Source organism: Homo sapiens, chromosome 6, assembly GCF_000001405.40.
Source record: "Homo sapiens chromosome 6, GRCh38.p14 Primary Assembly".
NCBI classification, from domain to species: Eukaryota; Metazoa; Chordata; class Mammalia; order Primates; family Hominidae; genus Homo; species Homo sapiens.
In genome coordinates this window covers 157,756,417-157,769,795 of record NC_000006.12, presented here as the reverse complement: position 1 = coordinate 157,769,795, position 13,379 = coordinate 157,756,417, and the positions used below count along the sequence as shown (strand labels likewise).

Here is a 13,379-nt window from a genome sequence, read left to right as displayed (position 1 = left end):
CCCACAACACACCCAGTGCTTCCCCTTCCACTGCCTCTCCACATGGGCCTCCACCAAAAATCCTCCACACAGGCCTCCAGACCTGGCCCTTTCTGTCCCTTCCTTCCTTCCCTGACATCCTCAGCTCCAGCCAGGCCTTCTCCGGCCTTGGTGTGTCTACTGTGGCTTTCTCCCACGCTGCCCTCGGGAGGGATGCTCCTGGCCCCTGAGCCTCCTTACAGGTGACCCCCTCTGCCTGAATCGCCCTTCCTCTCTGTCTTCCCCTGGCTGACGCTTACTCAGCCTTCAGGTCTTGACTTCAGCACAACATCCCCTGTCCTCCAGGAGCTTTCCCTTCCTCCGCAGACCAGGAGAAATCCCCTGGCTGCCCACGCCCCAGCGTGCTCTTCCTGCTGGTACAGCTCAGTGTATTTCCTGTCCACGAAGATGGGGGTGCCTGCGCCTGCATCAGAGTAGAACTCTGCAAAAATTTGTTGATTGTTGGTCGGATCGATGCCAGGCTCTCTGGTGAATTCAGTGTCACACACAGAGAGAACTGCTGTCACTTAGCAATGAGGGAAATGCAGTGCCTGCTGTTGCTGCTGCTGTTGCTGCATGGGAGGCCCGAGGAGCATCCTTGGAGCTGGTGGCTCTGCTGAAAGACAGCATGGCTCATCTGAACAAGTACTGCTCACCAAAGTGTCCACTGCTTGTGTTGCTATTAAGTGTGTATTTATTTATTTATTTATTTATTTATTTATTTATTTATTTATTTTTGGAACGGAGTCTTGCTCTGTCGTCCAGGCTGGAGTGCAGTGGTACAATCTCAGCTCACTGCAACCTCTGCCTCCCAGGTTCAAGTGATTCTCCTGCTCCAGCCTCCCGAGTAGCTGGGATTACAGGCTCCTGCCACCACTGCAGGCTAATTTTTGTATTTTTGGTAGAGACGGGGTTTCCCCATGTTGGCCAGGCTGGTCTCAAACTCTTGACCTCAGGTGATCCGCCTGCTTCAGCCTCCCAAAGTGCTGGGATTACAGGCTTGAGCCACCGCGCCCGGCCAATTGTGTTTTTAAAAAGTGACTTCTGAGATGATATGTGCGTTTCAAAATTTTCTTCTCTGTTTTTCTGGTTTGCAACAATATGCGTATGGTACTTTGATGGTCATGAGAAACAACTTGTCCCCAGGAAATTTTACGTTAAAAAAAGTACCAGGCAAGGGCAATTTGCTGTTAGGGTTCATTTGAATTGCAAATGTATTTCCTCTGGCTGGAAAGGGGAAACATCTTTCCTGACCTGCTCTACACCCCACAGAAGAAAGGGTATGAAGAGGAAGTGAAGTATGGTGTCAACGGTGCCAGTTCATCTGCTTCTAAAAACATTTATGTAAAAGTAAGAAGACAAAACAGCCATCGCGCTAAACCCAGGGTGCTGCTGAGCCCCAGGGTGGTGTTGACTGCTGCTGAGGTCCTGACCTGGGAGGAGAGTGAGGGCCGGGCCTTCAACTCCAAGGCCATGGCTGTAAGAAACAATCATTTCCAACCCCACTTAATTATCTCTCCCCAGTCACTTTCTTTCCTTCTGTTATATTTGTCTTCTGCCATGTAGGTAAAGGAAGGAAAAACAAAATTTAAGAAAAGTCTATGGAGTAGGTTAGGCGGGGGTTAGCGTGGATGGTGAGACCGAAGGGTCAGAGGAACATGAGACAGGTCAGACTGGGGTGGCCAACTGTCCCAGTTCACCTGGGACTGAGGAAGTACCTGGGCCTGAGACTCTTGTTTTAAAACTGGGATGGTCCTGGACAAACCAGGAAGAGTAGATCCCCCTACTCCCTGATGGCCTGTGAGGCAGCAGACATGGCCCAGCTGTCCCCCCAGGAGCCTCCACTCTGAGGTCACATGCCCTGCACCTCCCCATTGCACCCTCCGAGGGCCTCACAGTATTACCATTTACCAAGGCAGTTCTGGGAATCAATTCTGGCCTGACATTGGGAACCCAAGCCATACTTTCATCTTCAACATGTCACTTTTTAAACAATTTTCTAGAATGAAATTACTTTAACTTTTGTTTTAAAATGATTTGTGATTAAAGAGAAAACAGGATCTTCATATGAACTGAGATTGTGGTACATTTGAACAGTCAAAATTGTTCCGTTTAACTTGCATTGAATGCAAATTTCAGTTCCTAAAAAACCCAAATAAAGTAATAAATGTTCAGGGAAGGAGGTTTGATTTATCTCTTTCCCAAAATGATGACCTAGTAGGAAAATTGCTGATTGAGGAAAAACACATGGAAGGTTCGCGATAATGCAGGGACAGACTTCATGGCTGCTAGAGGGTCGCCATGAAAATAATTTGTGTCGGGCCCCACTTTCCACATACTACCCTCAGTCTTTCTAATGACCCCATGAGGTAGGTGCTGCCATCATCCTGGCTCTACAGATGAGAAAACTCGGAGCAGTGAAGTGGCCTGAGGACAGGCGTCCAGGCCTCACTGTCACCAGCGTTGACAGCATTCCCATCATGGCTTTGCTTCATCTTTTCTTATTCAAAGACAGAGAAAAGAAAGTCTGTTTCTACTTCTGTATGGCCCTTGTGCTAGCTCAACCGCTCAGAGCAGGGGAGTTAAAGTGCCAGCAAGCGAAATACCTCCAGCTGAGTACCAAAGATGAGACAGTCAGAGGCAGCTTCATATTGAAGGCAGATCCTCTGAGTATGTCTTTATTGGGGAACTGACATTTATAGATGACAAAGAGCTTTCACATTCATTAGGTCAAGGAGGAGAAGCAGCGCTAGTAACAGTTGAAGGAGTAATTAGTAATAGTAACAATAAAAGTACCTTTCATTTAGTACTTGTCACATACTGGGTACATTTACCTATATATATTTCTAATTTTCAAAACAACCCAATGAGGAAACTGAGACCCTGAACGTGGCTTTATCCCAAGGCTAACCCCAATGTCCAAGCATTTTGCACTTTATCATATTCACATTTTCAAAAAAGTTTCTCTCATTTTACAGTTGAGGAAACAAAGATTTATTGGGGGTACAGGTTTCAGTGATTACACATCCTTAGAATCAATGGGCCAGATTTCACACCCAAGTGTCCAGAAGCCCCTCATACAGAACTCAGAGTCAGTGCCTGAGAGAAGCCACAAGGCTTGTCCAATCAGCTGGCATCCCGAGCCCCACAGAAGGATGGGATTCCAAGATAGTAGTTAGGAATCTTTTGGTTCTATGGGGTACAATCATCCAGAGTTAAGCAAACAAGAAAAATGTAATACCTGAGAAGTGTCCAGTAGAAGCAGGACTGGGCCTCCGCAGAGCTTGTGGAAGGGCAGGACTGAAGTCTGAGAAGCTTTCAGGGCTCTGTCTCTCGTTGCTGTAGGCCAACTTCCACGCACCTCAGTGCAAGGTGGGGAGCACGGAACATGGTCTGGGGAGCACCAAGTTACACATTTTGAGTCCAGCAATAGGAAAGATTTCTTTGTTCCATTTTATATTCCAGGGGAAGCGCCAGTGAGTGGCTAAGTCTGGGTAAGGTCGCCATCCTGGTCCACAATATTATAGACAGGAGGCAGGTGACCTGTGACAAGTTCATCCCTTTGAAATGGGGGACCAGAGTTACCAGAGAGCTGGGAATCATTGTGAGTGGACGGAGGACTCAGTAGGTGTCCATTGTTGTGTCCAGGTGTCTGAATTCAAAACAAGTTAAAATGAAGCATCATACTCACACCCAGACAAAGTTAAGCAGGGACTAAGTTAGTGACAAGATAGTTCACCAACTATTTATTAAAATCTTCTGGAAAATATGTGTGTGCTGTAAATATTGTCTTGATGACAATGAGCTGTTTTTAAAAGATTTTTTTTAAGGATAATTTGGTGGGGAAACGTGCTCCCAGACAACAATGCTCATGGACCCAAGACCTTTTAGAAGATTTTTGGTGCAAAGGAGTCTGCACGGAGAGGCTTTCCTGACTCATACCCTACTTGTTTCCAAAGCTCCCCTGTGAATAAATATTACAGCAGGAGGGTCAGGATGGAACATTAGCAGATGTGAACATTTTGGCTCTTGAGGGTGACACTGCTGAATCTATGCCAGGTCCTCTCTCTCTGGAAAATTACTAAACTACGCTCAAATGATAAAACAAAACAAATACATTTCAGGCGGGGCGCGGTGGCCTACGCCTGTAATCCCAGCACTTTGGGAGGCCGAGGCGGGCGGATCACGAGGTCAGGAGATCGAGACCATCCTGGCTAACATGGTGAAACCCCGTCTCTACTAAAAATACAAAAAATTAGCCAGGCGTGGTGGCGGGCGCCTGTAGTCCCAGCTACTTGGGAGGCTGAGGCAGGAGAATGGCGTGAACCTGGGAGGCGGAGCTTGCAGTGAGCCGAGATCGCGCCACTGCACTCCAGCCTGGGCGACAGAGCGAGACTCCGTCTCAGAAAACAAACAAACAAACAAAAAAAAACAAATATATTTCAAAATGAACACCCGAAGCCCCCACAGTCATAGCTGTGTGCCTCCATGCACCTCTGCAATGTGGTGGGAGCGGGAATATCCATGCCCAAATACTTGCCCATAAATATCTCCCATCTAACTCTTTGTGGAGGAGATCAGATCCGAGTGGAAGGGCTCGGTGTCCCTGAGGGTAACGCCCATTGTCTAAGCAAGAGGAGTCTCTTTCTAACCCTAATAGGCTTGTTAACTCTTGGTGTTCTTCCTGTTCCTTTTTAGATAATCTATTAGGTTGGCACAAAAGTAATTGCAATCTTTGCCATTAAAAGTAATGGTAAAAACCGCAGTTACTTTTGCACCAAAATAATACATCACAGGTTTATACTCAGCCTTTGTTACTATTTTAGGTTGAATTATTTCCGTGCAAACCCTCAGAGCACAGGGATCTGTAATTATACTTTGCAAGAGATGTTACGTGCTACCAGCAAATTTTCCAGCTCAGTGATGCAAGGCAGGAGCTGTACATCTTCTCACATGTGGTTATTCATTCCATACAGTACTGAGAAAGAGCCTTAGTCACATTTGGACTCCCTAAGGAAGTGTCAGGCCACATCACTGCAGCCACATTCCTGCACAGAGCTTGCCTCAACCTCGCTCCTCCAGGCGAGCTCCATGCCGGCCACGTGATGGCCCCCGCCAGTGTTGAGAAGTGATTCATCGTCAGCTCCAGGGGAAAAACAGACTGTGTAGGAAGGTTCCATATGACAAAAACATCCGGATTTTTTTTCTTTCTGCCTTCTACTGGGCAATTCAGACCTTGTTATCATACAATTGAGGTGGAAATGTGACGTAATTAAACTGATTTATGAAAGTCACATACAGAAACCAGAGTCATTTTTTAGAGCCCCAGTGTGGTTAAAGTTTACTTCCTCTGTACATTTATAGCAAAGGCTTTTGAACATGGTTGAGGGCAGAGAGCCAGTTTCGGGTAGATTGGGAGAAGGTCTATTTGCTGGTTACTGCTGCTTCAATTTATATTTCCCCCTCAGTTTTACCAAGGAAAAGGCCTTAATGGACTGAATTCAATGTGAAGCTTGTGTGATTCTCTATCTGTGGCCACTTCAATGTGAACGCCAATGACCATGAGCCGGGTAATGACTTGGAAATATACTAGACAGAGCACAGCCATGGGAAATACCACGGAAGACTATGTTAGCTCCAGAATAACATCATTAAAACTAGCTTAATTTAGTACAGCATCTGGATCAGAAATAGTCCTAAACATGCATACACAAAGCAAGTATACATTTGCATGATACGTACACAGAGCTTTAAAAAGCAACCTGGATATAGTGTGTCAGTTTTCAGAAAGGGACCAAGATGAGATTAATGAACCTTGACACCTGCTTTGCTCTCTTCCACTGCCGTAGAAATCCTCTCTGCTGAGAGTCTGGCATACTTCATAGATACAGTATTTGGAGAAGCAGCAAGGCTGGATGGTTTGTGTAACACACTGGAAACGTCATGAGGCTGATTCTAGATTTGCCAGTCATCAACTGGGGGCACTTGGCCACGTTTTCTAACTCACAAAGGTTTTCCAGGATAACATTTCATGCTACCTCCCCTTGGTGTTTTGAGGAATCGTCAATAGGACAGACAGGCAAGCACATGAGAAACATAAGCTGCTAGTTGGCACAGGTGTGTTGGGCTGCTGGAATCAGGCAGGTGTATGGAGCCGGGTGACTCATGGAGGAGGAGGGGTTCCACCTGGAAGGGACACTCCCTGGTCTCTCTCCACATAGCTAATGTGAGTCACCACATTCCTGGCTCCCTGCCTGACTTGCTTCCGGGTCAACCACGGAACCCCAGGGCCACCTGGGGTTGGGCCTGCTCCAGCTGTTCCCTTCGGAGCCTTGCCCTGCTTGCTTTGCACTTGTTAGAAGAGGGAGCAGGTACTTCCCCGCAGGGACCTGTGTCTGCCTTCAGCTGTCTAAATTCCATGGAGAAGGCCTGGAGATCCATGGGGAAAACTCCTTTCATTCTGGGATGGTCTGGCCTGGAAGCCCGGAGCAGCTTCCTCAACCCCGCCGCCCTCCCCTTTTCCCTGCCTTGTACCCAAGGAGCCCCAGCCCCTACTCCACATCACAGAGGGCAGAGGTGGAGCCCACCTGGGACGGTGGCCACCTATACCCTCATCACCAGGCCTACATCAGCACCCTCTGGGCGTGACTTCCCTCACTTTCTAGGTAATGAAGAAAAAGATCGTGTTTTACATTGAGACGTATAATCTGTGTAGCTTGGAAGAGGAGAATATGCAACCCCCAAATATGCATAAGGATTGTTGAGCTGAAGGCCATTAAAAAGCAGATGCAGGAGAGCTCTCTGCCCTCGCTCTATTTGCCTAAAGCGGGGCACAAAGACAAAAGGTGTCCTGTCCCCCTTCCACCAGGGAGAACAAAGGTTAACCACGGAAGACAATTTCAAACCCTGTCAGCCTGGAGATGGTACTGGAGGAACCCACATGGGCAAGCCTCACCGAGCAGCCTTCCTCTGCCAGTTGTTTGCTTCTCCCCAAGTTGCTGCCCCCTAGAGACTCGAAATCCTTTTCTGCTTTTATTTTTAAAATATTTTAAAAAATACTTCCCCCAACCCCCACTGCATCCTCCCTAGCCACAGCGGGCTCCGGGACACTCTTCAGAGTCCTTTTCCTTTTCCTTTTCCTTGTCACTTCTCTAAATATTAGCTGTTCTTTGTTGAAGATACTGTCTAAGCTGGAATTCAAAGGCATCTCTCCCTGGTATCTTCCATGTGCATATTAAATACACATGATACTAAACTTCTGTTTGTTCCATGTGCATATTAAATATACATGATACTAAACTTCTTTTTGTTTTTCTCCTGTTAACCTGTCTTTTGTTACAGGGGTACATTCCAACTAAGAATTTATGAGAGCCGAAGAAAAAATTATCTTTCCTCCCCTACAGCAATGAACCAGAAATAGGCCACAGGGCCATCTGCTTTGGAAGCTTTGGTGGGATTCATAGGCTTTCTACCACCTTCCTTCATAGAAGGAACTGCACGCTTGAAAACTGCAACGAACCCAGTGAAAAGAGAAGAGGCTTCTGGCTACAATCAGATCTGCCAGTTGGCAGGTGATGGTGGGGGCACTGCCCCCAGAGCGGCTTCTAGACCTACTCTGCCCCTCCCGGCCCCACAGGGCACCCTGAGCTTGTACTCTGCCCCTCCCGGCCCCACAGGGCACCCTGAGCTTGTGAGAGGCACGGCCCCACCTGTGACCTCTCCCATCTTCTGGCCGTGCTCCCTGCGGTGCGCCCCACTCCAGAGAGCTCCAGCCCGGCTCCCTTCCTGCTGCGACGTTCATCCAGTTTCTCAAGTTCCAATTTTCATTCTGATGCCCTCGAACTTTTCTCAGCACAACATATCTGCAGTGAAAATGGAAATTCCAGACCTAAATCTATATTGAACCTCCCCAGATGTGCTGGCCCTGGGCTCTCCTTCCCCCTTCTTGAATCCTGAGGAACTGAAGCTGTCTTAAGAGCTCACGTGTGCGTCATCCCTTCCTGCACCTGCTTCCACGGGCCCTTGGCGGTAGCCTGGGAACAGCTGGTCAGGTACTATTAGCCCCATTCTACCAATGGAGAAACCGAGGCTCAGAACAGCTCAGTGGGATGCGGCTTCTGAGGTCACACGGTTCACGTGCACCAGAACTTGCTTCTAGGCCGCCTTTCCATATCCTGTGCTTTTTCAAAAGCCCCCTTTTAATGCTTACAACCCCTTTTTGCTGTGCAGGGTACAATGCTAGACTAGCAGGAGAGTGGTGACTCATAACCAACTTCTGACTTATTTGACCGCACACACAAAACAAGGCTCTCTACCCATTTTTCCAAAACACAAATTGCGTCTTTAAGAATGCTCTTGAACTCCAAGTGCAACTGACAGACAGCACATCATAGACCGCTTGATACATGTTGTTGTCTGAATGGAAAAACAAGACATGCCTCCAATTCCCCCAAAATAAGTGATTCTATGAAACTAATGCCACAAAAAGGAACTAAAGAAGAATGTGTCAGCTGTTCTAATACAATCAACTGATTACCTAGAACACAGGCAAAAATGCATGTCTGGGGTGTAACCAGTGGTGTGGGGGTGGGTCTGCCATTGTTTACAATCGCCACACATGGCGATAATAGAAAGCAGACCACTGCAGTGTTTTTCTTCCTATTTTTAAATTCTCTGCAGACAATGCACCCTGACTCCCACAGCTCTCTCCTTCTCCTTGGTACACCACCAAGTGTAACTAGTGATTCATACGAGGGTGATTCATGTTATCCATCAGATTTTTTCAAAATTATTTTTATTAGTCTTCTTGTTGTTGTTGTAAAATAAATCTCTTTTCCCCCGGCTGTGTTGCCAGACACTGCCTTCCCCAGCCTGCCCTCTCGCTCCCTACCTGCTTGCATCAGCCAGGCCTGGGGCAATGGGAAGGACCTGCAAAGGTGTTGAAGACCCTTCTCCATGAGGGAGTAGGAAGGGAGTCAGTCTGTGCAACTCCCTGTCCCCACCCAGGCCAGTGTAGGTGACCAGGCCACCAGCTGGCGTCTGCCCTGATCCTAGATTTCTTCTGGGCCTCAAATCCAGCCCTGAATGTCAGGTCAGGCAACCGGAAACTACTTCCTCCCAGTCCCCATATCCTCTGTACCCTCACTGGCTGGTCCTGCACCTGCACCTGGACAGAGAGCTATCTGAAGCTGTGACACTGGCATCTCCTGAGGCTAAGAACTGTCCTTGTCTAAACGCTTGGCTGTCACCCCAGCTCTGCTATACCAGCCTCACCAGACTGATTGAGATAGAGGCCACTCTGGCTCAGACTTGAGCTCCCTACTTTGCGATTTGAACCTTTGGACACTCTCTGGGGGAGAAATGTGGATGGTGACACCCTGTGGCCTGGTTTTAATGGTGTGCTAGTAAATGTGCACAACAGGCTCTCTGGAAGAAGAGTCCTGAAATGTACATTTGCCAATTTCTGTGGTGTAAATACTGCCCCCATGGCCAATTTCCAGCTGTCAGTAAGAAGTCACTGAACGCAGAGGTGGAAAGAGATGTGCAGCAGAACAGGGTTATATAATGCTTCCTCCACTCAGACACGCAGATGTAAATAACCTTGATGGCCCGGGCGTGGTGGCTCACGCCTGTAATCCCAGCATTTTGGGAGGCCAAGGTGGGCAGATCACGAGGTCAGGAGATTGAGACCATCCTGGCCAACATGGTGAAACCCCATCTCTACTGAAAAAAAGATAAAAAAAATTAGCCAGTGTGGTGGTGCACGCCTGTAGTCCCAGCTACTCGGGAGGCTGAGGCAGGGGAATTGCTTGAACCTGGGAGGTGGAAGTTGCAGTGAGCCAAGTTCACACCACTGTACTCCAGCTGGGAAACACAGCAAGACTCCATCTAAAAAAGAAAACAAAAAACAAACAAACAAACAAAAAAAACAAACTTTGATGGCATAGGTAATAGTAAAGTGTAGATCACTAGGAAGTGATGAGCTTTAAGTGTTTATTACTTTTGTTTTTAGTATAATCTATTCAATTTGTAAGTTTATATCATTAAACTTTTATTTATTTTTCTTATTTATTTCTATATTTATTTGGAGACAGGGTCTCCCTCTGTTGCCCAGGCTAGAGTGCAGTGGCATGATCATGGCTCACTTCAGCCTCAACCACCTGGACTCAAAGCTCACACCTCAGCCTCTTGAGTAGCTGGGACTACAGGCGCCCGCCACCATGCCCAGCTAATTTTTGTATTTTTACTAGAGACAGGGTTTCACCATATTGGCCATGCTGACCTCAAACTCCTGACCTCAAGTGATCCACCAGCCTCAGCCTCCCAAAGTGTTGGGATTACAGGCATAAACCACTGCGCCTGACCCATTTAATTTTTAATAATGGCTGTGTTTAACAACCAGCTTGCAAATTTCCTGAAAATTTAACCATGAGTGCTCCTGGGCCCATCAGGGCCAGCTCTAGCATGTCACAGCCTGGTTTGGCTCTCAGGCCCCATCTTTGCATGGCTTCAGCTAGATGTCATGGTCCCCTGCCCGCAGCCTGCATGACTCAGAATTCCTACCAGCCAGGGCCGTGTGACTTCTGACGTCCAGGTTGCCAAATTCAATAGGTAAATTTCACTCCTTATTCTACTTGGCCTCCCAGAGACTCCTGTCTTTTGAAACTCTCAACACCATCATTGTTCCTTGCTATGATTTTAAACCTTCTCTGAGGGCACAGGTTCCTCTGCTGGCCCTTCAGCTGTTGGTGTTTTTCAGGACCTGAGGTCTTCTTCCACTGTCCTCACTGGGAACGTGAATGCCGCTGCTTCCCAGATCCCTGCCTTCAGTTCAGGTCTCCCTGTTGAACTCAGGTCTCATCTGTGCAACTTCCTGCTGCACAGCTTCCTGTGACCATCTCTCAGGCGTCTCCTACTCAACAGGTTCCATCATCCCTACCTGTCTTGCTCACGCAGGCATCCATGCTAGCGTTCACCCCATAAATACTTCTCAGACACCCATTACCTGCTAGTCACTACACGTGCTGACCATACAGCTGTGACTCAGCCACAGTCCCACCCTCATGGGGCTTATCCAGGGGACATGGTGTCACCATGTGCCCAGTGACCCCAGCCAGAGCCTTCAGTCATCCTTACCCCTGACCTCTCCCACTTACCATTGTTTAGTTGGTAGATTTGATCTGTTCTTCTTCCTGCCCAACTCCGGAAGCCTCCCCTTCCTCTGCCCCCACCAAGAGTGTCTTTTCCCCAGGCCCTTGTCATTTTGCTCTGGGATCATCGGGAAGCTCCTCACTGCTCTCCTATCCCCAGACTTGCCGCTCTCGAATCCATTCTCCATGCTGCTAGAGTAATGATATTTCTGAAATCACATTTATGATATTGCCATTTCCCTGTATAATATTCTCCCAAAGACCCTCATAGCATTCCATGTAACATCTAGCCTCCTTGGCATGGTAGAAAAGGCCTTTTAGGTGACCTGGCCTCATCTGCTTCTTTTTTCTTTCTTTTCTTTTTCCTTCCTTCCTCTCTTTTTTCTTTCTTTCTTTCTCTCTTTCTCTTTCCTTCTTTCCTTCCTTCCTTTCTTCTTTCTTTTCTTTTCTTTTTTGATAGGGTCTTGCTCTGAAGACCTTGGAGGCTGGAGTGCAGCAGTGAGATCACACCTCACTGTAACTTTGAACTCCTGGGCTCAAGTGATCCTCCTGCCTCAGCCTCCTGAGTAAGTGGGACTACAGGCATGCACCACCATGGCCGGCTAATTTTTAATTTCTTTTTGTGGAGACGAGGTCCTGCTATGTTGCCCAAGCTCCTCAAACTCCTGGCCTCCCCATCTGCTTCTTAGTCTTCTTGTTACCATTCCTCCTGAGACCTACGCTCCAGCTGTGGGGACATTTCTCAGGCCTACCCCCTATGCTGGTGCCAACCCCTTCACCCAGAATCCCTCCACCCGACGCCAGCCCTAGCCCCTATTCCTTTCTTTGATTGCCTGCTCCTAGTCATCCTTCAAAGCTTGGTTCAGCTGCAAGCTTCCCAGTATGGCTGTGCAAGGGGCATTGCAAAGAGGTGGAGGGTGCCCTGTGCACATCTGAGGTCACTGTAGATTATGACAATTTTCTGGTACATAGTGATAAAATGAATGGTGCCACTGAGGTCATCAGCAGGGCAACTTCTGTCACTTCCTCCTGGAAATGTTCACTGGCCCTCCCAGTTTGCGTTGGGTGACTCTTCTCTGTCATGGCCATGTCATACCAAACTGTGACTGTTTATTAGTATCCATGCTCTTTTGGAGGATGAGCTCTTGGAGGACAGGACCGTGTCCTTCCCTTCTGTATACCTGGCACAAGAACTGATGGGCAGTCCGTGAAGGTTTGTTGAGTGAATGAGCGTGTCCCCGGTAACAGAGTGCCGTGGATAAGGCCCCAGGATCCTGAGTTAGAATCCTGGTGCTGCCTCTCCCATGCAGGGTGACTTAGACACAGCACTCCACAAGTAGCCACCCCATACCTCATACAAAGAGTATGGGGCTCAAGTGAGAAAGTGGCTGCCAAGCACTGAGGGAATGCATGGTGATTCTTACGACTGAATATTTTCCAGTGCTGAAGCTGCTTCTGTGTTGTGCTTCCTAGTCCACTTTTCTGGACTCCCTCTCTCGGTTTGTTTATTATTATTTTAATCCTCCTGAGTTTTACTAGAGAGGCAGCACCATCTTGGTAAATATCTTAACTGCCAGCTCCTGGTGGGGGGAGGGGGTGGAAGTTGAAGTGGAATTCAGTGCAGTGATGTGTGAGATAATGGAACACACACACATTACAGCTAAAGTCCAAGGGAAAGGCTGTCAGAATTAGCTGGATTCTCCCGGCGTCCTCTCTGCACCGGGGCTTGCGATCTGGCCCTCGGCCGCAGGTTGGCACAGCCTGCTTTGTTGCTGAGATGCCCAGTTTCCTCTCGCTCCTGCCCTCTGCTGGCCGGAATCAGATTCTTTCCCGCATATTTGACTCTGTTGCCTCTGGGGATCCGCCTGGGGATCCGCCTGCGTCTCGGGGGCCTGGTTTTCTTTGCTTATTCACTTGCTTGCTGGAGTGTCTATTCCCTGCTTGCTGCATTAGAAGCTATGGGGTACACAAGTGATGCTGGTCCTCAAAGTCCACCTTCAAGGAGCAAGAAATTTGGATAATCTTGGAGAAGCAGAAGCCAGGACCTCAATCCAGAACTCTGTGCCTGGAGCAATGAAGGAGTTATTGTCCCCAGACATGGCACACCAGATTGCAAATTTATAAAGACAGGGAATCATACTTATGTAGAGCTTCGCAATTTACAGAGCACCAAGACATACATTTTCCAATTTAACTCTTTTTTTTTTTTTA

General features: G+C 47.9%; 6 annotated features.

Moving 5' to 3' along the window:
• Positions 5,195 to 5,244: an enhancer, noted in NCBI's record as "active region_25338". NCBI's record gives its function as "activates an Ori minimal core promoter by ATAC-STARR-seq in GM12878 lymphoblastoid cells {active_cell/tissue: GM12878}" and the evidence as "EXISTENCE:reporter gene assay evidence [ECO:0000049][PMID:35858748]".
• Positions 5,735 to 5,844: a silencer, noted in NCBI's record as "silent region_17726". NCBI's record gives its function as "represses an Ori minimal core promoter by ATAC-STARR-seq in GM12878 lymphoblastoid cells {active_cell/tissue: GM12878}" and the evidence as "EXISTENCE:reporter gene assay evidence [ECO:0000049][PMID:35858748]".
• Positions 5,735 to 7,405: a biological region, named in NCBI's record as "P300/CBP strongly-dependent group 1 enhancer GRCh37_chr6:158183852-158185051".
• Positions 5,777 to 6,976: an enhancer, noted in NCBI's record as "P300/CBP strongly-dependent group 1 enhancer chr6:158183852-158185051 (GRCh37/hg19 assembly coordinates)". NCBI's record gives its function as "activates an origin of replication core promoter dependent on BRD2, BRD4, P300/CBP, MED14 and CDK7 cofactors, with strong dependence on P300/CBP, by STARR-seq in HCT116 cells {active_cell/tissue: HCT116}" and the evidence as "EXISTENCE:reporter gene assay evidence [ECO:0000049][PMID:35650434]".
• Positions 6,135 to 6,204: an enhancer, noted in NCBI's record as "active region_25337". NCBI's record gives its function as "activates an Ori minimal core promoter by ATAC-STARR-seq in GM12878 lymphoblastoid cells {active_cell/tissue: GM12878}" and the evidence as "EXISTENCE:reporter gene assay evidence [ECO:0000049][PMID:35858748]".
• Positions 6,478 to 7,405: an enhancer, noted in NCBI's record as "H3K27ac-H3K4me1 hESC enhancer chr6:158183423-158184350 (GRCh37/hg19 assembly coordinates)". NCBI's record gives its function as "activates a minimal SCP1, AML or CMV promoter by ChIP-STARR-seq in naive H9 embryonic stem cells {active_cell/tissue: H9 hESC(naive)}" and the evidence as "EXISTENCE:reporter gene assay evidence [ECO:0000049][PMID:30033119]".